Source organism: Homo sapiens, chromosome 16 (assembly GCF_000001405.40).
Source record: "Homo sapiens chromosome 16, GRCh38.p14 Primary Assembly".
In the NCBI taxonomy this organism is placed as follows: domain Eukaryota; kingdom Metazoa; phylum Chordata; class Mammalia; order Primates; family Hominidae; genus Homo; species Homo sapiens.
The window spans coordinates 13,011,054-13,037,165 of record NC_000016.10 but is presented as its reverse complement, the minus strand read 5'-3'; the positions used below and the strand labels follow the sequence as shown (position 1 = coordinate 13,037,165).

The window sequence follows — 26,112 nt, the reverse complement described above, 5'->3', positions numbered from 1 at the left end:
GACCAACAGTGTGTGTGTGTGTGTGTGTGTGTGTGTGTGTGTGTGTGTGTGTGTGTCTGTGTGTGTGTGTGTGTGTGGTGTGGTGTGTGTGTGTGTGTGTGTGTGTGATCATTCCCTGCTTTCCTTTTACTTACAAAATTACATTGAGAACAATGCCTGATTTCTCAACTGCAAAGTAAGGATAATAATAGTCTTTAATTTACAAGTGGTTGGTGAGACTAAAATGAAATAATTCATATAAATAGGGCTTTACGTGATATTTGGCACGTAGTAGGCATTTATTAAAGGGTTTTTTGAGCTGCATTTGAGTGAGCGCTTACTGTTGCCAGATTTGTGCTAACTACTTTACCTCATTTAGTACTGGGGGTGCTGTCCGTGGTCCTGAATTGCCTTTTGCTGTGGGAGCTTTTTTTTTTTCCTCCTCTGAACTTCAAGAAGCTGATTCTGTCAACCCATATATCATTCTCCAGAAATTCATAACCATGTAATTTTCAGAAAACATAATTTTAGGTCTCTTTGAAAATCAACTTTATGGAGTTATGGCTTATATGCAAGTGCATGCATTTTAATTGTACATTTTGATGACTTTTTACAGATTTATACACCAATGTAACTAGCCCCACCATCAAGATACAGAATATTTCCATCACCCCAGAAAGTCTCATTAGATCTCACCCACCTTAATAACCCCCCAACCTCTGGCCTCAGACAAACACTATTTAGCCTTCGGACACTAGATTTCATTTGTCATTTCTAGATTTCAAATAAATGAAATTATGTAGTATGAACTATTTTATATCTGCCTTCTTCCTCTCTGCATAATTTTTAAAATTGATTTATACTGCTACATGTATCAATAACTTATTTACTATTGTTGTTAAAATATATCACACAAGTAGTTTATCCACTCACCTATGAATAGATTTGGGGGTTACTTTTAGCTTGGAGCTATTACAAATAAAGCTACTCTGAACATTAGTATACAAGACTTTGTGCGGACATTTGTGTTTATTTACCTTGAGCAGATATCTAGGAGTGGAATTGATGTGTCATATGGTAAGGGCAGGTTAAACTTTATTTAAAAACAACCAAACTCTTCTCTGTTGTACTATTTTACACCTTCAGTGTGTGACAATTCCAGTCACTCCATATTTTCACCATCACTTGATATCATCAATCTTTTTCATTTTAGCCATTCTAATGGGTGGTATCTTATTGTGGTTTTAATTTGCATTTCCCTGATGACTAATGACACCGGCATCTTTTCATGTACTTATTGACCGTATATATATCTTCTTTGGTGGATTGTCTGTTAAAATCTTTGCCCATTTAAATCTGATATTAATGCTATCAACAAATCCCAGATCTTTATGATGGAAGTTATTGGCAGGCAGATCACCTGAGGTCAGGAGTTTGAGGCCAGCCTGGCCAACATGGCAAAACCCTATCTCTACTAAAAATATGAAAATTAGCCAGGCATGGTGGTGCGTACCCATAGTCCCAGCTACTTGAGAGGCTGAGACAGGAGAATCACTTGAACCTGGGAGGTGGAAGTTGCAGTGAGCCGACATCACTCCAGTGCACTCCAGCCGGGGTGACAGAGCAAGACTCCATCTCAAAAAAAAAAAAGCTGAAAATTACAGGAACACATAATCATAATCAACCTCAGAATAATGCAATTCACAAGAAAGTCCCCTTTACTCTGAATTATTGAGCTCTGTGGACAAACCTCTATCACCAACATGGGATTCTGGGTGCAGATACACTGTAGGGATGTAGGAAGATTGATAGAGTGAAAAAGACCTGCCATGTTTTCTCAAACCAACTCTTTCCTAGCTGGTTGACCCCTTGTGAGTCATTTAATCTCCATCATTCTCACAGTTACCTACAAAAAATAGAGCTAGTGCAACCTACCTAAATGTGTCATCAGGAAGACCACAGCAATGTACATAGTTGTATGCTGCATAGTGAATACTCAAAATATAGAGCTATTAATTCTATTATATTCCAAACATATCAGTTTTCTGTTACCATAATAACAAATATGTTGGATTTGTTGATAGTATCAATATCAGATTTAAGTGGGCAAAGATTTTAACAGACAATCCACCAAATAATGTTGATGTTAAAACCACCCTCCAAAACACAATAGCTTTTTTTTCTTTTAAAAAAAGCATTTTATTAGCTCCCAAATCTGTAATTGGTTATTTAGTCTAGGATCAGCTGGGCAGATCTTTCAGTCTCAGCTTAGCTCATTCACATGTCTAGTACTGGCTGGCTGTTGACTAATGTAGGACGATCTTGGATGGGAGAAGGGAATGACCTGGGTCTGTTTCACATGTCTCTCCTCCTTCATCAGAGTAGTCTTGGCAATGGCAGAGGTACAAAACAGCAAGAAGAAACACACAAGCGTTCTTCAGCTATAGGCTCAGAATTGGCACATAGTCACTCCTACCATATTCTATTGGCCAAAACAAATCACAAGGCTAGACCAAATTCAAGAGGTAGGGAAAGAGACTCCATGTCTCTTGTGATGGAAACTGCAAAGTCACATGGAAAAGAGTATGCATGGAGGGAGGTCTGAAGAATTGGGTCTATCATTACAGTGTGCTATACAAAGCAATCTCCAAGTGGCCCCCCAAAAATAAACTTAACTTTCTTCCTGCCCTCAATAAGATGTTGCTTCTTCTGGACTAAGGCCAAATATCTATGTTCCAATTCTCCCTGATCTCAGAAGAAAGAACATCCCAATGACCTGACTTTCATAAGGTGTGAGTTGGCATCACTGCTCATTAGCAAGTCTAGCTGGGCCAGGAGGTGAAACAGAAGCTGAGAAATTGGGTCATTCCCAAGGAGATGCTAATGGTGCTCATCACCCCTACCCCCACCAATGCCATTCCTGAATCTTTCCCTCTATCCTACTAAATGAGCTGGAGTCCAAGGAGTCAAGCAGACTACTTCTCTACTTGGGATAGGTAAAGATGCTCGTCTCAGATGGAGGTATTTTTTTTTTTTTTTTGAGATGGAGTTTCCATTCTTGTCACCCAGGCTGGAGTGCAATGACACAATCTCAGCTCTCTGCAACCTCTGCCTCCCAGGTTCAAGCGACTCTCCTGCCTCAGCCTCCCGAGTAGCTGCATTACAGGCATGCGCCACCACACCTGGCTAATCTTCATATTTTTAGTAGAGATGGGGTTTTGCCATGTTAGTTAGGCTGGTCGCAAACTCCTGGCCTCAGGTGATCCACCCACCTTGGCCTCCCAAAGTGCTAGAATTACAGGCGTGAGCCACAGCGCCCAGCCACATGGAGGTATCTTAATAAGCTTCTTTCATTTTTCCAATCATGGGCTGAACCATCTTGGACTTGGATCCTGAAAATAATGGAGGCCTATTGGAGCAAGTTGGGAAGAACTTCCTTATCATGGACATCTACTGGGTAGTGTGGCCAACTCACAACAACCATTCCTATTGGTCTCCCAACCCAAGGACATAACAGTGAGCTCCTGGCAGTTTATTGATACAATAGTACACCACCATCCCCCATGCCTGAGTCTCTTGATTTGAATGCAAGTGGACCCCTAATCCAAGCTGGGTCAGAACCCTTTCTTTTGAATTTAAAGTTGTAATATTCAATCCTTTCTGGGAAGTTTGGACTTGGCAGCTACTACTATGATTATGAAGATCATGTGGATTAGAGAAGCAGAAAAAGAAAGGCTTCTGAAAAAGAAAGAAATGAAGCACAGAGTAGGAAATAGAATCTAAATGGCTTCCAAATCCCTGGTTTTGGTTCTTATAGTGGAAGTGTGTTGGTTTTGCCTGTCCAGTATTCATTCTTCCTTGTTCAGTTATCAATACTTTGAACTTCCTTTGGAGAACCACCTTCCCGCCTCCCTTCAGTCCAGGTCATCAGTCCATTTTCACCCTAATTGTAGGGGAGGGTATGTCACCCAAGCCTAACCAAATATGGGCACTGCATGATGATTTCAGAAATAAGAACATAATGCAGTTAGAGCCGGCTAATCCCAGGATTTAGGCAGATGTGACTAGAAGAAAAAAGCACCCTATCTTTTCTACTAGACTTGAAGCTGTATGGTTGCGAACCAGGAAATTCTGGCCACCATCTGGTCACCATGCGAAGAAAGCCTGCCTGAAAATGAGGCCAACACAGCAGAAGGCAGGTCTGACAAATGGAAACTAAGTCCTGGTAACATCTCATGGTTTGAGTTCCTTGATCTCGCTCTGACTCTAGGGAACTTTGCAATTACAAGCTTTTTGTCTTAGCTATTATGAATTGGGTTTTCTGTTTCTCACAAAGGTCAAAACTATGACTTCCCTGAATTCAGTTGCACTCCTGTCTGTGAGAGATCTCTATCGACTTCCAGCTATGAAGCTTGAGTACCTTCTCTTGCAACAATCAAGAGTCATAATTCAGGACCTTTCTGCTTTCTATTCCATAAGATATAATAGAAAGTGTAATAGAAAGAAGTAGATGAGAACAGTCTAATATTTACTCTGTACTAGGCACTGTACAAGGCACTTTACTTCATTACACAGTCAGTTCTGCTGCTATAGTACAACATACACATTTCTAAAAATTACTGCATTATACAAAATCATGCAATAAAAACTACAGAGTTTATGGGGAAATGAGGTTAGGGGCACACCATTCAAAAACTTCATCAGTGACACATTTTTTTAAAGACAGGAACCTCACATAAAAATGTTGAAAGTTGGGCATTTGGGTTGGTTCCTGGATAAAGAAAATGTGGCACATATACACCATGGAATACTATGCAGCCCTAAGAAAGAAGAGTTCGTGTCCTTTTCAGGGACATGGATGATGCTGGAAACCATCATTCTCAGCAAACTGACACAGGAACAGAAAACCAAACACCTCATGTTCTCACTCATAAGTGGGAATTGAACCATGAGAATGCACTGACACAGTGAGGGAAACATCACATACCAGAGCCTCTCTTGGGGGTGGGGGCAAGAGGAGGGAAAGCATTAGGACAAGTACCTAATGCACGCGGGGCTTAAAACCTAAATGACAGGTTGATAGGTACAGCAAACAACCATGGCACACGTATACCTATGTAACAAACCTGCATGTTCTGCACATGTATCCCAGAACTTAAAGTAAAATTTGAAAAAAAAAAAAGTTGAAAGTTGGATAGACAGTTGCAACACCAGATGTGGGTGGGCATGGCTCACAACTCAGGTAGCTGGCAGATGTTTGAGGTGTGTGTATTTTATGTATTCCTATGTGGCTCAGTTTATTTGAGTGCAGTTTTCTGCATTTGCCTATTGTTTCTCACTGAGGAAATTTCACATGAACAAATGTGAAATTCACATTATGCTCAAATTGTTTCCTGATATATCAATCTCACTTGTGCAAATTCATGTTTTCAGAACAAGTACTGTAACAGAACTGTCTCATATGAGCCTAGCCTTAACCTCGTGATATAGATATTATTTTTTAGGCCGTAAAAAGAAGACATTGAGGCTCAGAGAGGCAGACCTAAAATTCAAACCCACATCTGTCAGACTCTAGTGCTCACATGCTTTTCATACTGGCATGCTCCATCTGAACTCCAGTGTTTCCTGTGATATGTGTATAAATTGCCTTACCCTTGGCTGCCTACTTGTTAAGTCTCAGGAATTACATAAGATCTTGCACTGAAATATAAGCCTTTGCACAGTTACTGGTTGGTGCCTGTATCATACTGGCCACTCTACCTCAGGCATCCCATCTGTAAAATGAAACATTATCCATTTGCTACTTACCCACCCCATGGAGAGGGTGCAATGGCTGAATACACTATTGTCAAGGCAACAGAGCTCGTTCAGTTCCCAAAGCATGAATAACTGGGGTTTCTTCATCCAACCTATTCCAGTGGACAGAGGAGGAAACCAAGGGCCAGAGAAAACAAGGGATTCATCAAGGTCACACAGGAAGGCAGAGGCAGAAGAGGGGTTAAAATCTGGGACTGTGGATCCCCAGTAATTTCCCAATATACCTAGAGTAAGACCCATGGTAATCACAGTGCCCCGCGGGACCTGGTTTGGCCATTGTTTACTTACAGCAGCCCCCTCACCATCAACACAACAGAGACATATAAACGGCTGGAAGATATGGGCTCAGGCTTCTAAGCCTTGCAGTTCTGCAGTCACTTGGATACACACAAATCCACAGCTCATTAATCTGACACTGAGTAACAGCCCTGTGCTAGAAGCCAGGATAATCAATCACTCAACCAATACTTAGAACTCCCCTGTCAGTGACGCACACGTTTTGGCCATGAAGGGGTCCTTGGGATTCATTTTCCCCATTGCGTTCCTCTCCTATAAATGCTTTTGTAGAATTTGACTGCCCAGAAAGCTGCATTTATTAAAGAATAGTTAATTTTTTCCTACCATATTTTATTCATCAAAGCCTTAAAGAGCTGCCCGTTAGTGCCTGTGGTCTACAAGAGGTAACTGTACTACACTGTGACACTATACAATGTTGCTGTAATTCTAGTCAAGAGCAGAAAAACATGATGTTTCAACTCACTGATGTGGTCCGGATCTCAGGTTGAGTTCCCTAAGAAGCAGGCTCTGAAATCATTTTTGAGTACAGACAGGTTCTTGGAAGGTGATCTCAAAAAGGGGAACGGGGAAGTTAGACAGGGAAGGGAAGCAAGCCAATCTAGCATTAATGGGCATGTTACTGCAGTGGGCAACTGGGCTCAATCCTATGAGAAACCCCTGGGAATGCTGTTGAATGTACCTTAGAGTGGACTCACCCAAGGAATGAGAAAGCTGGGTGGCTACCATTGGCTGGGGGCTGCTCCCAGGAGCATCGACTCTCCAGCACTTCTAGAAGCACTTCACCTCACCTACAGGAGAGCAGCATGTCAGAGAAAGCCCCCAGACAGTCTGAGTGGGGGGTTCTTGCAATAGGATTCCATCAGTGCCTATAAGAATGGAGGTACCAAGGAGATGTGGACATGGCGCCAATACACCTGCTACACCTGGCTATAGATAAATACTCCATTTTTAAAAGTCATTCAAAATTCTAAAAACAGTAATTATAAACGACATTGATCAAGTGCTTACTGTGTACCAGGCACTATGCTAAACACTGGATATGAATGATCTCATTCAGTCCTCACAGCAGCATCATGAAGTAGGTCCTATAATTATCCTCCGTTCACAGATGCGGAAACTGATCCTTAGAGAGCTTGAATAAATTGCCTAGGGTCAGGAGGTAAGGAAGAAGCAGAGCTGAGATTTGACCCTCTAGGCCTCTGGCTCCCAGCCTTTGTCTTTCTACTACATTATGTTGTCATAAATCACAAAAGTGACGAGATGGATGTGGATCTATCTAATTCTGGAGGGTGAGAGGTCGACAAGAGAGATGGGTTCAATTGTTTTTATTTTCAGATCCCACAATTAAGTGAGAACACATTATGTCTGCCTTTCTGTGCCTGGTTTATTTCACTTAATGTAATGATCTCTAGTTCCATCCATGTTGTTGCAAATAACAGAATCTCATTCATTTTGTTTGTTTGTTTAGACAGGGTCTCATTCTGTCGCCCAGGCTGGAGTGCAGTGGCACAATCTCGGCTCACTGCAGCTTTGACCTCCTGGCCCAAGTGATCCTCCCTCCTTAGCCTCCCGAGTAGGCTCGGACCACAAGCGTGTGCCACCACGTCCAGTTAATTTTTTGTATTTTTTTGTAGAGACGAGGTTTTGCTGTGTTGCCCAGGCCAGTCTCAAACTCCTGAGTTCAAGTGATCCATCTGCCTTGGCCTCCCAAAATGCTGGGATTACAGGCGTAAGCCACCGTGTTCAGCCAAGATCTCATTCTTTTTATGGCTGAATAGTACTCCATTGTGTATGTGTACCACATTTTCTTTATCCATTCATCAACTGATGGACACTTAGGTTGCTTCCAAATCTGGCTATTGTGAACAGTGCTGCAACAAACAGGAGTACAGATCTCTCTTTGATATACTGATTTCCTTTCTTTGGGGTATATACCCAGTAATGGGATTGTTGAAGCATGTGGTAGCTCTATATATCTACTAGGTGCCCACAAAAACTAAAAATAAAAAAAATTTTAAAAGGAGAGAAATGGGACCTAGCTTGGAAGGTTATATCTAGGGAAGGTCTATGTAGAAGACCTCAATTGCATTTGCATCCATTCCTCAGTCTTCTAGTAATAGCACCTTTACTTTCCTTCAGGGAAGGACTCGTCCCCCACTCACACTCCATGTAGTTTTGAAGTGTTGACACCCCCAGCTGGCTCCAGAACATGATCTAATCCTGACCGATCAGAGAATTTCACCACCATCTGCAGACACAGTGATTGATTCAAGGATGGTCATATGACCCCAGCTGTTCCAACGACCCTCTATGCCATAATTTATCTATAGGAAGAAGCTCTTCTCCATGGGGATTGCTGAGCTGAGGGGCAAAACTGCTGAAGGCTTTTGATATGGTTTGGCTGTGTCCCCACCCAAATCTCATCTTGAATTGCAACTCCCATAATTCCCAAATGTTGTGGGAGGGACCCGGTAGGAGATAATTGAATCATGGAGGCAGTTTCCCCCATACTGTTCTCATGGTAAGAAATAAGTCTCACGAGATCTGATGGTTTTATAAGGGGTCTCCCCTTTCACTTGGCTCTCCTTCTCTCTTGCCTGCCACCATGTAAGACGTGTCTTTCACCTTCCACCATGATTGTGAGGCCTCCCCAGCCATGTGGAACTGTGAGTCCATTCAACCTCTTTCTCTTTATAAATTGCCCAGTCTCGGTATGTCTTTATCAGCAGCATGAAAACAGACTAATGCAGCTCCCTTTATCACTTCCTGGGGAGAACCTGCCTAAGAATGAAGCCACGTAGAGATAAATAGAACCCAATGATAGAGGCAGATTTCTTCTTAAATAACGTTTATTGAAGTGTAACTTATATTCACTAAAATGTACCCATGTTAAGTACACAGTTTGATCAATTTTGACACATACATACAGTCAAGACCACCATGACAATCAAGAGATAGAAGGTTTTCATTACCTGAGAAGGTTGTTTCACATACCTGTTTGCAGTCAATTACCCCCACCCCAGCCCCAAGCAGCCACCGTCTACCTTTTCAGAATCTCATATAAATAGAATCATACAATATACACTTTTTAGTGCTTGGCTTCTTTCAGTATACATTCTTTTTTTTTTTTTTTTTTTTTGTTTTTGAGACAGAGCTTCACTCTAGTCACCCAGGCCAGAGTGCAGTGGCGTGGTCTCGGCTCACTACAACCTCCGCCTCCTGGGTTCAAGTGATTCTACTGTCTAAGCCTCCCAAGCAGCTGGGATTACAGGAGTGCACCACCATACCCAGCTAATTTTTGTACTTTTAGTAGAGACAGGGTTTCACCATGTCGGCCAGGCTGGTCTCAAACTCCTGACCTGAGGTGATCCGCCTGCCTCAGCCTCCCAACACTATACACTCTTCAGTGCCTGCTTTTGAGATTCAGCCATGTTTTGTGTGAATCAATATTCATTATTTTTTATTGCCGAGAATTATTCCATTGTGTGGATGTACCACAGTTTGTTTATTCATTCTCCCATTGATAGACATTGGGTTGTTTCCAGCTTTTAGCTATTATGAATAGAGCTTCTATGAATATTAGTGCAGATTCTTTGTGTGGACATAATTTTCAATTCTCTTGGATAGATACAGAGGAGTAAAATTGCTGGGTTGCATGCTAAGTGTATATTGGATTTTATGCTTCAGTTTATAAGAAACAAAAAGCAGCCTCTTTGGGGCACCTCTAACTAGCTAGATTCCTGGAAATTTTGCTACATGACCCAATAAATATTATTAGTTGCTTAAGGAAGTTTGAGATGGTTTTTACTGCTGCCTATAACTGAAAGAATATTGATGGAGTCCATCCTCCAGATAAGAACATCCAAAAATGTTGGACAGAATTTCCAAAGAAAGCTGAGGACTCTTCACCCAACATTTGTCAACCAACAGTACAATTCAATGTTGAGAACAGAAATCTTGGGGATCCCCAAAGTTTTCGTTGTTCAGTAAATGGGCTATACCCCAAAAGACCCAGATACAGCAGTGGGGGAGGGAGGTATAAACAAGCTCCAGGTCTCTTTCAGGCCATGAAACTCTAGGTAGTTATGGTACCTTGAAGACACAGACAATGACTTTCAACCTTAAAACCTAAATGTTGACTCTGATCAAGGAGGGGAGGGGCACTGGTTTTCCCTTCCCGCAGCCAAAGTCTCTGAGCTTCACATCCTTCTCCTATAAAATGGAAATAATACTAAGCATCATGGCTACTTGTTAGTCTTCCATCATGTCAAGTGCTTTATCTGCATTACATAGGTAGTCTTCAAAATGATGCTATGAGAAGATTCCCATCACTACTCACATTTACAGGTAGGAAAAGTAGGGCTTGAGGAGGTCAGAACTGACCCACAGTGAATATAAAAGGGTGCAGCTGCTGTGAAACACAATATAGAGGTTTCTCAAAAGATTAAACATAGAACTACCATACGATGCAGCAATCCCATTTCTGGATATATAAAAAGTTGAAATCTGGAACTCAAAGAGATATCTGCACTCCCATGTCCATTGCAGCATTATTCACAAAAGCTAAGATACAGAAACGACACAGACATCCATCAACAGATGAATGCAGAAAGAAACTGTAGTAGATGTAGTCATACAATGGAATAGTATTCAGCCTTGAAAAAGAGGGGAATCCTGTTACGTAAGACACATAGATAAGACTTGAGGACATTATGCTAAATGCATAAATCAGTCACAAAGGGACAAATGCTGCATGATTCCACTTCAATAAGGACTCTAACGTCATCAAACTCAAAGAAACAGAAAGTAGAAGGGTAGTTGCCGGGGGATAGGGAGGGGAAAATTGGGAGTTGCTAATCAATGGGCAAAAATGTCTCAATTGTACAAGATGGATACATTCTAGAAATCTGCCACACAGCATTGTCCCTATAGTTAACAATACTGTATTATACACTTAAAATGTTGTTAAGGTGGGCGCGGTGGCTCACGCCTGTAATCCCAACACTTTGGGAGGCTGAGGCTGGTGGATCATCTGAGGTCGGGAGTTCGAGACCAGCCTGACCAACATGGAGAAACCCTGTTTCTACTAAAATTACAAAATTAGCTGGGCATGGTGGTGCATGCCTGTAATCCCAGCTACTCAGGAGGCTGAGGCAGGAGAATCGCTTGAACCTGGGAGGTGGAGGTTGCAGTGAGCCAGGATCACACCATTGTACTCCAGCATGGGCAACAAGAGGAAAACTCCATCCCCCCCAAAAAAAATGTTGTTAAGAGGGTTGATCTCATGTTAAGTGTTCTTACAATAAAAAAGTAAAAATAAAAAGTAAAAAATAAAAAAAAGAACTGACCCGCAGTTAGGAAGAAGGAGGTCAGCATGTGACCTACGTCTATGAGATTGCCAAGGAGGCACTCAACTATTATGTTCTACTATTAAGTGACTATTAGGAATGGGGCTGTGTGTTGGTGATTCCCACCCCTGGCTCAATATTAGGATCCTCTGGAGATTTTAAAGAATTTCAACCCAGTTCACACCCCTCAACAATTAGGTCAGCACCTCTAGAGGTGGGACAGAGGCATCGCTATTTTCTAAAGCTCCTCAGGGGTTCCAGGATCCAGGAGTTCCTCCAAAGTTAAGGACCAGTCATCTAGGGAAGTGGTGTTTCAACCTAAGCATCATCGGAATCACATGAAAGCTTTGTGAATACAGATTGCCAGGCCTCACACCCAGAGTCTCTAATTCAGCAGGTCTGCAGTGTGTCCTGAGAATTTGTAGGTCTAACAAGTTTCCAGGTAATGTCGTTGCTGGTCTAAGAAACAAATGTTGAAAATTACTGGTCTAGAAAGATAGAGGAAAGTAATAATTAGCCCTTGCCTACAAATGTATCCCTGTATAATAAATAGACAATTATAATAATGTCATAAGTGTTATAATAAATGAAACACAGGGTATTCTAGAAACTCAGAAAAGGGGAAATCTAATATACCTAGAGATTCAGAAAAAAATCCAAGAGGAAATGATGTTATGCTGTTCTATAAGAACCCTCTTAACATGTTGGTATCAATGTCCAGGTAATTATGAGCATGCATGAGATAAGACATCCTTCCCCAATATCTGCCCCTTGCACTAGCAGCAAGGTTCACACTTGCATTTGACAGATGTTATTGGCAATTGAGATCCTGGCTGCACAGAGGCTACTTTCATGCAAGCAGAGATAGATGCTAACCAGGCGTCAGGAAGTATCACAGGGACCTGCAGATTCAGCCAACACAGGAACTTTGAGGGTCTACTGTGTAGCAGGCATTGTTCAAAGTGCCGTATGTGGAAGCTCTGTGGAAATGGGTATTGTCACCCCCTACTTTACAGTAGAAGAAGCTGAGGCTCAGAGAAGTGAAATAGCTCACTTGTCATACAGCCCATAAGTGGCAAAAATAAGATTTGAACCCAGATCTCTCGCATTTCAACTTTCTCTTTCTATCACAGTACACTGCCTCTCAGAAAATCCTGCTCAGCTTGCATGAATCCCAGCACTGGTGGGAGTAAGGAATCCAAATCCTTTAATACATATGTATGGGACTGGCTCCCCCACAGTGCCAAATGGCCACAGGTGCCAAAAAGGGTGTTGCATCTGAACCAGCCAAAATCTGTCACCACATCCCCACCTCAAGAGGCTCTGGGCCAACTGGGCTGTCCAGCACCTGGGCTCCAGCTGCCAAAGGCAGGCAGGTGAGCACCAGGCTGTTGGAAGCCCAGGAAGAGCAATGACACCTTCTCTGTTGCAAATGAGATGTTCTGGGCTTGGTCCCTCCCTACAGCTGCCAGTAAGAGGCCATGCAAATGCTTCCTTTATCCTAGAAAGAGTATGGGCTCTGGAAACAGCAGACCTGGGCTCAATTTGTTCTGTAGGTGCTTGAGCTACCTGTATACCTTCTCTGAACTTCTCTCTCCACCTTTAAAATGGAGATAACCAATCCACTAAGTGTTAGTGAGGATTAATGGAGATGAGAAATGAAGAGCTTTAACCCAGTTCCTCGCACATAAAAGGCATCTAATTACTCTTACTTTCTTCTGTTCCTCAGCCTCTCTGTTCCCAGAGTTGTAGGTGGTAAATCATATCCTACAATGTGTTGTTATCATCCCTTCCCATCTTTGTGTTTTACCCCCATCTGGAGTGGGCTGAATAATGTCCCTCTGAAAGATATGACCATGTCCTAACCTCCAGAACCTATGAATGTGACCTCATTTAGAAAAAGAGGTCTTTCATCTATGGAGCCAACAGACACACGAAAAAATGCACATCATCACTGGTCATCAGAGAAATGCAAATCAAAACCGCAATGAGATACCATCTCACGCCAGTTAGAATGGCAATCATTAAAAAGTCAGGAAACAACGGATGCTGGAGAGGATATGGAGAAATAGGAATACTTTTACACTGTTGATGGGAGTGTAAATTAGTTCAACCATTGTGGAAGACAGTGTGGCGATTCCTCAGGGATCTAGAACTAGAAATACCATTTGACCCAGCAATCCCATTACTGGGTATATACCCGAAGGATTATAAATCATGCTACTATAAAGACACATGCACATGTATGTTTATTGCGGCACTATTCACAATAGCAAAGACTTGGAACCAACCCAAATGTCCATCAATGATAGACTGCATTAAGAAAATGTGGCACATATACACCATGGAATACTGTGCAGCCATAAAAAAGGATGAGTTCATGTCCTTTGCAGGGACATGGATGAAGCTGGAAACCATGATTCTCAGCAAATTATCATAAGGACAGAAAACCAAACACCGCATGTTCTCACTCATAGGTGGGAATTGAACAATGAGATCACTTGGACACAGGGTGGGGAACATCACACACCAGGGCCTGTTGCAGGGTCAGGGACTTGGGGAGGGATAGCATTAGGAGAAATACCTAATGTAAATGATGAGTTGATGGGTGCAGCAAACCAACATGGCACATGTATACCTATGTATCGAACCTGCACATTGTGCACATGTACCCTAGAACTTAAAGTATAATAAAAAATAAATAAATAAAAGACAGAAAGAAAGAAAAACGGGTCTTTGCAGATGTGATCAAGTTAATCTCAAGATGACATCATCCTGGATTATGGGGTGGCCCCTAAATCCAGTGACAGATGTCCTTATACAAGTAAGGCAGAGTGCTGGGTATGCTGGCTCCCAGCACTTTGGGAGGCAGAGGCAGGAGGACTGCTTGAGCCCAGGAGTTTGATACTAGCCTGGGCAGCATAGTGATACCCTGTCTCTTTGAAAAATGAAATAATTAGCTGGGTGTGGTGGTGTGCACCTGTAGGCCCTGCTACTCGGGACACCTAGGCAGGATGATCACTTGAGCCCAGGAGTTCAAGACCAACCTGGGCAACAGAGTGAGACCCCCATATCTTGTAAAAATAAAATTAAGGCTGGGCGCGGTGGCTTACAACTGTAATCCCAGCACTCTGGGAGGCCCGAGACAGGTGGATCACCTGAGGTCAGGAGTTCAAGACAAGCCTGGCCAACATGGTGAAACCCCGTCTCTATTAACAATAAAAAATTAGCCGGGTGTGGTGGCACATGCCTGTAACCCCAGCTACTTGGGAGGCTGAGGCAGGAGAATCGCGTGAACCCGGGAGGCAGAGGTTGCAGTGAGCCAAGACCGTGCCACTGCACTCCAGCCTGGGCAACAAGAGCGAAACTCTGTCTCGAAAAAAAAAAAATTTTTTTAATGTAAAAATTAGCCAGACCTTGTGGTGCATGCCTGTCGTCCCAGTTACTCGAGAGGCTGAGGTGAGAGGATGGCTTCAGTCCAGGAATTCAAAGCTGCAGTGAGCTGTGATTGAGTCACTGCACTCCAGCCTGGGCAACAGAGCAACACTCTGACTTGAAAAAATAAAAAGTAAGGCAGGGGGAGATTTGAGACACGCAGATACAGAAGGAACAAGGCCATGTGGAGACAGAGGCAGGAAATGGAATTATGCACCCACAAGCCCAGGAAAGCCTGGAGCCACCAGAAGCTGGAAGAGGCTAGGAAGAATTCTCTCTCGAGACCTCAGAGGGAGCGCAGCCCCACCAAAGCCTTGATTTCAGACTTACTGCCTCCAAATTGGTAAGAAAATAAATTTCTATTGTTTCAAAACCATGCAGTGTGTGGTCATTTGTTACGGCAGCCCTAGGACACTACTATGCTTTCTCTTCCCAGGCTGCCCCCTCAGCCCATGGAGAAAAGAATGGTCAGTTATTCCTGTCTAATAAATAGACTATTATAATAGTGTCATAAGTGTTATAATAAATGACACAGGGGGTATTCTAGAAACTCAGAAAAGGGGACATCCAATATACCTAGAGATTCAGAGGAAATTCCAAGAGGAAATAAAGTTATGCTGAGTTTTATAAGAATCCTCTTAAAATATTGGTATCAGAGCTCAGGTACCGTTTCTTCTTCATCCTGCTCCCGGCCTTCCTGCCTTTTATGAAAGAGATGTTGTTCATCTGATTGTTCTGAGTCAGGTACATGGGTTGAGCCACGTTTTACTAGTGGGTGTGATAACTAAGCCTGAAGTATCAGAAGCCAAGCCCCTCTCCCTAACTCACTTCCTGTCCCCATGCATGGGAGACTCTTCGGCTTCCATCTCTATGTGGTAAATGCACTCTCAGGAGAACTTCTAGAGCAGGACTTCTCAACCTCAGCACTACCGTTTGGATAGTTTCTCACTGTTCATGAGTATTGGGGTTAGGGTAGGGTCCTGTGTATTGTAAGATATTTGAGCAGCGTCCCTGGCCTTTACTCACTAGATGCCAGGAGCCATCAACCTTTCCCAGTGGTAACAATAAAAAATGTCTCCAAATGCCACCAAACACCCTGAAGGAGGTAGGAGGGAGGCAAAATTGTCCCTGGTTGAGAGCCATCGCTTCGAGAGAGGTCTAGCACTCAAGGAGACAGCAGGACCATATAGCTATTGCCGTCCATAAAGTTGAATAGCCAAGTTCAACATCTCCTTAATTCACCCAGCCCTTCTAGATTCGAGAGAGCCAAGAGTAGAAGTCACTATTTCAGTTTCTACACCCAAGCATCTTGCCCCAGCACCAATCACCAGAGAATCCCGGGACTGGGGAGATATTATGTGGTCACAGCTAAGAATCCAGCAGGGCCTTTTGCCCTTGCGTATAATGCTCTCAAAGAAGGGTAAGTGACAGAAATCTGGTTATCCAATTTACACCCTGAATACATGACAATTAGAACTACAAACAGCTAGGAACCTATCCTTCCAAAATACCAGAGGTCTGGTATCATTTAGTATGTTTGGATCCTAATATGCAAAAGAGAAGGGATGGTGGAGATACAAAGGATACGCAGAGACGAGGTCCTTCTCAATACATCTTGAGTGCCATATTATTATGGATGGAAACATTGGGTCCCCTGTAAATTCATATGCTGAAGCCTTGACTCCACAAATATGTGTCTGTATTTGGAGTTGGGACCTTTAAGGAAGTCATTAAGGTTAAATGAGGTACGAATCCAATAAGAAGAGACACCATGGATGGAGCTGGAGGCCATTATCTTTAGCAAACTAACACAGGAACAGAAAACCAAATACCGCATGTTCTCACTTACAAATGGGAGCTAAATGACGAGAACACATGGATACATACGGGGGAGCAACACACACTGGAGCCTTTTGGAGGGTGAGGGTCAGAGGATGCAAGAGAATCAAGAAAAACAACTAATGGGCTGGGCATGGTGGCTCACATCTGTAATCCCAGCACTGTGGGAGGCTGAGGTGGGCAGATCACCTGAGGTCAGGAGTTCAAGACAAGCCTGGCCAACATGGTGAAATCCTGTCTCCACTAAAAATACAAAATTAGCCAGGCATGGTGGCACTTGCCTCTAATCCCAACTACACATGAGGCTGAGGCAGGAGAATTGCTTCAGCCTGGATGGCAGAAGTTGCAGTGAGCCAAGATCAAGGCACCGCACTCCAGCCTGGGTGACACAGCAAGACTCTGTCAAAAAAAAAGAAAGAAAGAGAAGGAAGGAAGGAGGGAAGGAAGGAAGGAAGGAAGGAAGGAAGGAAGGAAGGAAGGAAAGAAGGAGGGAAAGAAAGAAAGAAAGAAAGAAAGAAAGAAAGAAAGAAAGAAAGAAAGAAAGAAAGAAAGAAAGAAAGAAAGAAGGGAGGGAGGGAGGGAGGGAGGGAGGGAGGGAGGGAGGGAAGGAAGGAAAAAGAAAGAAAGAAAGAAAGAAAGAAAGAAAGAAAGAAAGAAAGAAAGAAAGAAAGAAAGAAAGAAAGAAAAGAAAGAAAAGAAAAGAAGGAAGAAAAACAACTAATGGGTACTAGGCTTAATACCTGGGTGATGAAGTAATCTATACGACAAACCCCAGTGACACAAGTTTACCTATGTACCAAACCTGCACTTGTACCCCTGAACTTAAAAGTTTAAAAAAAAGACCGGGAAATGAAGAGTGGTGACAGTTGCACAACACTGCAAATGTACCTAACGCCATTAAATGTACACCTAAAAATAGCTAAAATCAGAGACTTTGTGATTATGTATAGTTAACCACAATAATAATTTTTTTAAAAATCTGAAAAAAAAAAGAGACGCCAGAGAGCTCTCCCACTGAGGAAAGGCCACATGAGGACATAGTAAGAAGCCACCTTCAGCAAGCCGGGAAGGCTTCCCCCACCAGAAAATGGATCTGCCGGAACCTTGATCTTGGACTTCTAGCCTCCAGAACTGTAAGAAAATAAATGTCTGGCCAAGCGTGGTGGCTCACGTCTGTAATCTCAGCACTTTGGGAGGCCGAGGCAGGTAGATCACTTGAGGCCAGGAGTTCAAGACCAGCCTGGCCAACATGGTGAAACCCCATCTCTACTAAAAATATAAATATTAGCTGGGCATGGTGGTGAGTGCCCATAATTCCAGCTACTCGGGAGGGTAAGGCAGGAGAATCTATTGAACTGGGGAGGTGGAGGTTGCAATCATCCAAGATCGTGCCACGGCACTACAGCCTGAGCAACAGAGCAAGACTCTGTCTCAAAAAAAGAAAAAAAAGAAAATACATTTCTGTTACTTAAGGCACTCAGTCTATGATACTTTGCTATGGTAGCTTGAGCAAAGTAATGCATGGGCTGAGGAGTTTGCACTTTGTAGGTCAAGGCTTTCCAGCGTTCTTCGGTTCTGGGACCATCTGCATCATAATCACACATAGGCTCTGGCACACACAGATTACCCCCTGAACTGAATCAGGATCTCTGAGAGTGCTCACCTAGGAATCAGCATTTTCACACACTCACCAGCTGGTATTTATGCACATTCAAATTTGTGTCGCCAAAGTTGACAGGCGACTAGGAATCAATAAAGGATTTTGAGCAGATGTACGCTTTGGAAATATCACCAGCTGCAGTGCCTCTCCTGGACTGGAAATGACTGAGATGGAAACAAGGCACTGAGAAGTCTCCACACCCCCTGCCTGGGACTCTTCCCTCCACCCCACTGCAAATCGCCTTCATCCCGATGGAACCTTCGCCTCTTCCCACATCTTGCTCAAAGTTACAGCTTGTAAAAGGTAAGCCATGAGGTGGAGGATTTGGGTGCTGGGCAAATGCTAGCAGGTGGGGTAGACAGACTGAGAGTAGGAGAGAAGAACAGAAAGGAAACAGGCAATACCAAAAAGCTGGTCTTCACTGGCCATTGCGACAGCTTCTTCAGGAAGCAGGGCCAACCTGCGTGAGACTAGATTCAAATTGGAGGCCAGATCCCTCTTGCTAGATTTGGGATCAGGCCTTTGGAGGCAAAGAATGAATGACAAAGGGAAGCCACGCCAGCAGTAGCCGAATAAACCCTACCCACTGTGAAGCTGTGCTGATGGAGAATGTATCCAAAACAGAGCAAGGAACTTAGGAGGGAGAAGAACAGCTGACCTGGTCAAGGCTCCAGAAGTCACCATCCCTGTCGGGCCAAGGGTCAGCACTCTGAGCTAGCTCCTCAGCAGAGGACAACACAGGATTTAGGTAAGAGTGAATGGTCTTGGTTGTTATAAGGAAGAAAGCCAAGTCCAGAACGTTCTCTTTTAAGTAGCCAAAAATTTCCTTTGAGAAGGGAATACAGGTGGGAGGGGATTTCCTTAAAACTCAGCTAATTTTTTCATTGAACAAGGGGATTGAATGTGATAGCCCTCAAGGCAAAGACATTCTGGATTGAATGCATGAACTAGTAAGACTTGAGTAGATCACCAGTTAGCAGTGTTCATGTCCTTGCAGCACTGGTATCACACAATGAAGTATATGAGCTCTGTCCCCAGTGCTTTGAAGCTGAGGGGCCTTGAGTCTACTACTTAACTATTCTAAACCTCAGTTTTTCTTACCTATAAAATGGGGATAATGTATAACCTACACTGAATAAAGATTCAATGAGATAATCCATGGAAAGCATTCAGCACAGTGCCTGCATATGATTGACACTCAATACCAGTCAACGAATTATTGTTGTTGATAATGATGATATCATCATTGTCAAAGAATACAGACTTTCAATAAGACAGATCTAAATGGGAATCCCAGTTTAGCCAGTAGCTATGAGACTTTCAGCAAATTGCTTAACAATTTTGAGTTTCAATTCCCTTGTTTGCAAAATGAGGTAATGATTCCAACATGGAAGGCTGACAATGTGATAATGAGATAAATTGGGGAAAATGCATTGCACAGAATCCCAAATTTCATACTTTCAGAAGAACAGGCCGGGCACTGTGGCTCACACCTGTAATCCCAGCCCTTTGGGAGGCCAAGGCGGGCGGATCACCTGAGGTCAGGAGTTTGAGACCAGCCTGGCCAACATGGTGAAACCCCATCTCTACTGAAAATACAAAAATTAGCCAGGCATGGTGGCGGGGGCCTGTAATCCCAGCTACTTGGAAGGCTGAAGCAGGAGAATCACTTAAACCTAGGAGACGGAGGTTGCAGTGAGCCAAGATCAGGCCACTGCACTCCAGCCTGGGTGACAGAGCAAGACTCCGTCTCAAAAAAAAAAAAGAAAGAAAAAAGAAACAAAAAAGAAGAAGAAGAAGAAAGGTACCCGAGATCAGAGACCCCAGCATACATGTACACATTCACAGGCCCCTACTCTTTCCCTAAAAATGTATTTTGAAATTCCTAATATCGTGGAATGCTCACAAGGACAAAATTGCCCTCCTTGGGGACTATATTTTTTAATGTCCCCAAAGTGTGACTAAAAAGTACCACAACAACATGTCCCTGATTTTCCAAGATGGTCTTGATCTCATTCTTTTTCCTACAGTTCTCTCCGTAAACATATGAATGAATGCTTTTGTAAAATTTTACATGTAAATATAGTCATAGGCCAGAAAAATAAATCAATAAATGAAACAAAATGTGCTCTGAGTTTCAGTTTGGTTAATTTGCCTTGTAGGATTTGCCTAATATAAACAAAAACGGCAAAAAACAGCAAAAAACAACAACAACAACAACAACAAAAAACCACTACCAAAAACTTGAAGACTAGCTCACCTGAGTCTTCTTCCCAGAGGCATTAATATTCTCTGCCCTCACCACTGCCCATTACACAACCAACCACTTGGACGTATGTTTGTGAACTGATCTTTCTTACTCATTCTCTATTCCCCTGTTCAAAGAAGTCAGCAAATATTTAGATGGCTCTAAAATCCACAGTGTGCAAAAAGACTAGGAATGAGGACTACTTTCCAGGTTAAAGCATCAGGGATGTTGAAGCCGTCAGAGGCTGAGAAGCTAAAGAAATTAATTTAGCCAGGTGCAGTGGCTCACACCTGTAATCCCAACACTTTGGGAGGCCAAGATAGGCAGATCACTTTAGGAGTTCAAGACCAGCCTGGCCAACATGGTGAAACTCTGTCTCTACTAAAAATACAAAAAATTAGCAGACACAGGCCTGTAATTCCAGCTACTTGGGAAACTAAGGCAGGAGAACTGCTTGAGCCAAGGAGGCGGAGGTTGCAGTGAGCCAAGATCATGCCACTGTACTCCAGCCTGGGCAAAAGAGTGAGATTCTGTCTCAAGGAAGAAAAGAAAAGAAGGGAAGGGAAGGGAAGGGAAGGGAAGGGAAGGGAAAAGAGAGAAGGAAGGAAAGAAGGAAGGAAGGAGAAAGAAAGAAAAGAAAGAAAGAAAGAAAGAAAGAAAGAAAGAAAGAAAGAAAGAAAGAAAGAAAGGGAAAGAAAGAAAGAAAAGAGAGAGAGAGAAACAAACAAACAAACTTAAAGAAAGAAAGAAATTTCTCTTTGTGAAATTGACGCCAGATTTCAAGGGTGTTGATGAATCAGCTACTCCGGAAACCTTTGATCTCCAGTAGGGAACCGGTGTATCTACGCATAGGGTAACAGTCCCCTTCAGCTACCAACTACCCAGGAAGCCTGCATGCCTTTAGGGGCAATTTTACGCTAGCATTGACTTTGCAGTCCCAGTAGAATCAACCCCAGATGCTCAAAAGCATTGGTTCAAAAATGAGGGGTAAAAATATATTTAGTTTGTTTTCAGTTTGTTGGGGAGCATAGAGTGGAGTAAAGAATACTGGCTTTGGAGATGCCGACTGGAGTCCAAACATCGGATCTCCCACTCATCAGTTGGGCAAATTGTTTAACATCTTTGAGCTTTGACCTTCTCATCTGTGAAATGGCAGCATTGCCTTTCAAGATTGTCACAAGACTATTAAAAGATTATGTATTCATTATAGCTAAAGCAGAGGTCAGTAAACTTTTTCTGAAAGGGGCAGATAGTTAATATTCTAGGCTTTGTGGGGCCATATAATCTCCATCCCAACTACTCAACCATGTCATTGCAGCACAAAAGGTGCCACAGACAATACATAAATGAATAAGCATGGCTGCATTCCAGTAAAAATAAAACAGGCGGCAGGCCAGATTTGGCCCATAGGCTGCAGTGTGGCTGACTCCTAACTACAGAGCGTACAGCCCAATACCTACACATACGAGACAATCAATAAATGGTAGCTTTGATGATGTGGAGAGCAATGCTGATGAAAGGAGAGAATCCACTAACCAGCCATTTATTAGGATATCTTCATGTCCAACCCTCTGCTGGACATTGAGTGGGGAAGAGGCATATAGGTGAGATCCCTGCCTTCAAGGCAGTATCCGAACATGCCAAATAACTAAATAATGGGTGAAAAGGAATATGGCAATGGAAAACATCACAGGAGTGTCTTTGAAGTCTTGTGAGTTCATAATATTTCAAACAAAAGAACAAAGTCCCACTGTGAGGCCTGATTCATCAAGGCATTTGTATGGGGGAAGAGGAGGGGTTAGCAGCCTTCAGCTGCAGGTTAACATCCTGAATTCCACCCCCGGCTCAGAATTCCTCCCAGCTCTCTGCTGTAACAGACAGCACCACATCTCAGGTTGGTGCAAAGCAGTAACCCGAGATGAGATGCTCTTTGAAATAGCTGCTTTGGGTGTTCATGCTCATTCTGGAGTCAGAAGGAATAACCAGTGGTTTAATGTTTAAAGGCCTCCTGTTGAAGCAATCTCCAAGATAAGGAAATAAGCACAATTGAAAGACAGTGGATTGGATTAATTAAGGACATTATCACTTGCTCTGCTTAATTACCTCCTAGCAGCCCTTCCCAAACTGCCATCAGAGGACGTTAACAAGTGGGCTCAGAAAAAACAAAAAGGGAAGGGTCAAATGATTTTAGGAAATGCCCTTTCTTTGAGATTTATAACTCACGTTAACCTGTTAAACACTCCAGTGAGTCCTGAAGCTGAGAATCCCACGTAAATGCTTTACCTGGGAGGATGGCTCTGGATTCAGGCACATCTGGGTTTTAATCTCAACTCTGACACCAACTGTATTGTCTTGGGCACATTGCTCTAACTGCTCTCTGCCTCAGTTTCCTCATCTGTAAAATGGGGATAATAGCCTTGTAGGATTTGCCTGTCTCACTGAGTTCTTATGAGGCAGGTGCACCTCCTGACACAGTTCCTAAATATGGCAAGGGCTTTAAAGGTATTATTTTCAGGCCAGGCCCGGTGGTTCACGCCTGTAATCCCAGCACTTTGGGAGGCAGAGATGGGCAGATCACGAGGTCAGGAGATCGAGACCATCCTGGCTAACATGGTGAAACCCCGTCTCTACTAAAAATACAAAAAAAATTAGCCAGGCCTGGTGGCGGGCACCTGTAGTCCCAGCTACTCAGGAGGCTGAGGCAGGAGAATGGCGTGAACCCGGGACGCGGAGCTTGCAGTGAGCTGAGATCTCGCCACTGCACTCCAGCCTGGGCGACAGAGCGAGACTCCGTCTCAAAAAAAAAAAAGGTATTATTTTCCAGCCTTGTTTGACCACATTAACCTCTAGATCTAGCACACCTGGGCAAAGCAGTGGCCAGTGAAGGGATGTGACAGTGATGCCTCATGGGTGAAAAGAGAAGACCCTTTAGGAGACACCCTTCCTACAGGCTTATAACAGGATATTTGATGAATAACTGTTTAGCATGTAGGAAGTCTAGACTCTGGGGCATGGGCTGAGCAAACTGACCGTGATCCCTAGCCACGCGGAACTTAGAGTCAAGTGTGGTTCCATTGACAACCCATGAATCCCTTCCAGGAGCCACCAGCCACATGTTCCAGGCAGATGAAAGTTCAGTTTCCCCCGGCCAGGCTCTGAATATCACAGACAAACACCTCTAAAGCCAGGACAGGCCCCAGGCTAAGAAACAAAGGGCTATAGGCGTCCTTGACTCTGGGCCCATCATTTCAGAGGAAGCTGGTGGCAGCTAGCCCCAGCAGAGGACAAACAGCCTGCAGAGGACGTGATTCCGGTCAAAGCTGTAGGCTCCAGAGCTCATTAGCACCGAGCACTGGGAAGCCTTCCAGCCCCAGGGTTCCTGATGCTGTTCACAAGGCCCACCAAGTTGCCAGAAAGACTCCTCTGATCCTAGCACAGATCATGGAAAGGTCCTGCTTCCTCGGCCTTTAACTGCTTAATCAATAATAGCTTCAGAAAGGAAGAGAGAGAGAGACAGGCAGCAGGAGAGGCAGGTCCCCTTCTCCCTGTCTCCCTCCACGCCCCTCCCTCCGGGATGCCGAAAATAGCCTAATTAGATTGTCCCCCTGCCTGGGTACCATGGAGATGGCAAGCACAGAGGCTGTCACAGCACTCACACACCCTTTTGAAAGTTGTCTCTCCTCCCTGTCTGGCCGTGGCTGACTGTTGGAGACACAGGACCCAGCACTACAAGACCAGGGAGGAGGGGCTGTGGCAAGGCAGCAGTAATGGGCAAGTGGTGTAAGTATCAAGCAGAATGCTTACAAAAGCATTGAGGAAATTCCCCTGCAGGCCCTTTATGATGCTGTGGCTAAAGGCAGCCCTAACTAAGCCCCACCTCCTTCTCTGTGACCTGATTGTTTCATCTAAAACACTTAGCAAGCATTTCCCTGCAATGTGTAGAAGGTAGCTTGTTTAGTACCAGGGTACCAGAAGTTTCTCATTATTTATTTGAAATGAAAAGCGTGTGCATCCTTGTCCAGTTGTTTGGTCTCATCCCCCGCACTCTCCCTCCCCAGTCCCTGTGCTATGGCCACATTGGGTGTCTTCCTACACCTCCATCATACAAGCTCAGCCTGACCTCAGGGCCCTTGCACTCACGTTCCCTCTGTCTGGAACTCTCTTCCCCCAAATATTCCCTGGCTGATTCCTCCTCATTATTCCATTCTCCTCTCCCAGGTCACTTCTGCAGAGAGGGCCACTTGAACACCTAAGGTAGCCCCATCTTCTCACCCCAGGGTCACTCTCTATAATATTATTCTGTGTCATTTCTCCTTAAAAATGTTCACTCTGTAAGGGAAATAAGCCAGACACAGAAAGACAAATATTGTGTGATCTCACTTATATGTGGAACCTTAAAAAATAAGAAAAAAAAAAGGGCTGGGCACAGTGGTTCATGCCTGTAATCCCAGCTCTTTAGGAGGCCGAGGTGGGTGGATCACATGAGGTCAGGAGTTCGAGACAAGCCTGGCCAACATGGCAAAACCCTGCCTCTACGAAAAATACAAAAATTAGCTGGGTGTGGCGGCTCATGCCTGTAGTTCCAGCTACTCGGGAGGCTGAGGCATGAGAATCGCTTGAACCTGGGAAGTGGAGGTTATAGTCAGTTGAGATCATGCCACTGTACTCCAGCTTGGGCAACAGAGCAAGACTCTGTCTCAAAAACAAAAAAAAAAAGTCAAAGGCCAGGCACGGTGGCTCACGCCTGTAATCCCAGCACTTTGGGAGGCCGAGGCAGGCGGATCACGAGGTCAAGGGATCGACACCATCCTGGTTAATACGGTGAAACCCTGTCTCCACTAAAAATACAAAAAATTAGCCAGGCATGGTGGCGGGTGCCTGTACTCCCAGCTACTGAGGAGGCTGAGGCAGGAGAATGGAATGAACCCGGGAGGCAGAGCTTGCAGTGAGCCGAGATGGCACCACTGCACTCCAGCCTGGGCGAAAGAGCAAGACTCCAACTCCAAAAAAGAAAGTCAAATATACAGAGATAGAGGTTACCAGGGATGGGGTGGGACGAGGAAATGAGGAGATGTGGGTAAAGGACACAAAATAGCAGATATGTAGGATGAGCAAGTCTAGAGATCTAAACATGAGAACTGTGGTTACTAATAGTGTAGTGTATTGGGGATTTGTGCTAAATGAGTAGATTGTAGCTGCTCTTGCCAAAAAAAAAAAAAAAAATGAGTGCTAATATGAGATGATGGTTATGTGAATTTGCTTCACTATAGTAACTATTTTACTATCTACACGCATCTCATAACATCATGTTGTATACCTTAAATATACACAATAAAATTTATTTTTAAGAAATAAAATAAAAGAAAGGTTCACTGTCTAAAATCATCATTTGTGTGTGTTCACCGCCTGCCCACCTGAGCAAGAACGTAAACTCCATTACAACAGGCTCTTAGTCTCTCTGGTTCACTGCTGCCCGTATTAGGTGCTCA

At 43.6% G+C, this 26,112-nt stretch overlaps 1 protein-coding gene across 6 annotated transcripts in view, besides 3 other annotated features; it reads right to left on the bottom strand.

Moving 5' to 3' along the window:
• SHISA9 (shisa family member 9) overlaps window positions 1-26,112 on the bottom strand; it is a 661,420-nt gene that overhangs the window by 525,852 nt on the left and 109,456 nt on the right. The window lies entirely within an intron of this gene.
• Window positions 287-487: a silencer, noted in NCBI's record as "peak2503 fragment used in MPRA reporter construct". NCBI's record gives its function as "represses an SCP1 promoter by STARR-seq MPRAs in K562 erythroleukemia cells {active_cell/tissue: K562}" and the evidence as "EXISTENCE:reporter gene assay evidence [ECO:0000049][PMID:32103011]".
• Window positions 23,591-24,364: an enhancer, noted in NCBI's record as "H3K4me1 hESC enhancer chr16:13106659-13107432 (GRCh37/hg19 assembly coordinates)". NCBI's record gives its function as "activates a minimal SCP1, AML or CMV promoter by ChIP-STARR-seq in primed H9 embryonic stem cells {active_cell/tissue: H9 hESC(primed)}" and the evidence as "EXISTENCE:reporter gene assay evidence [ECO:0000049][PMID:30033119]".
• Window positions 24,365-25,138: an enhancer, noted in NCBI's record as "H3K27ac-H3K4me1 hESC enhancer chr16:13105885-13106658 (GRCh37/hg19 assembly coordinates)". NCBI's record gives its function as "activates a minimal SCP1, AML or CMV promoter by ChIP-STARR-seq in primed H9 embryonic stem cells {active_cell/tissue: H9 hESC(primed)}" and the evidence as "EXISTENCE:reporter gene assay evidence [ECO:0000049][PMID:30033119]".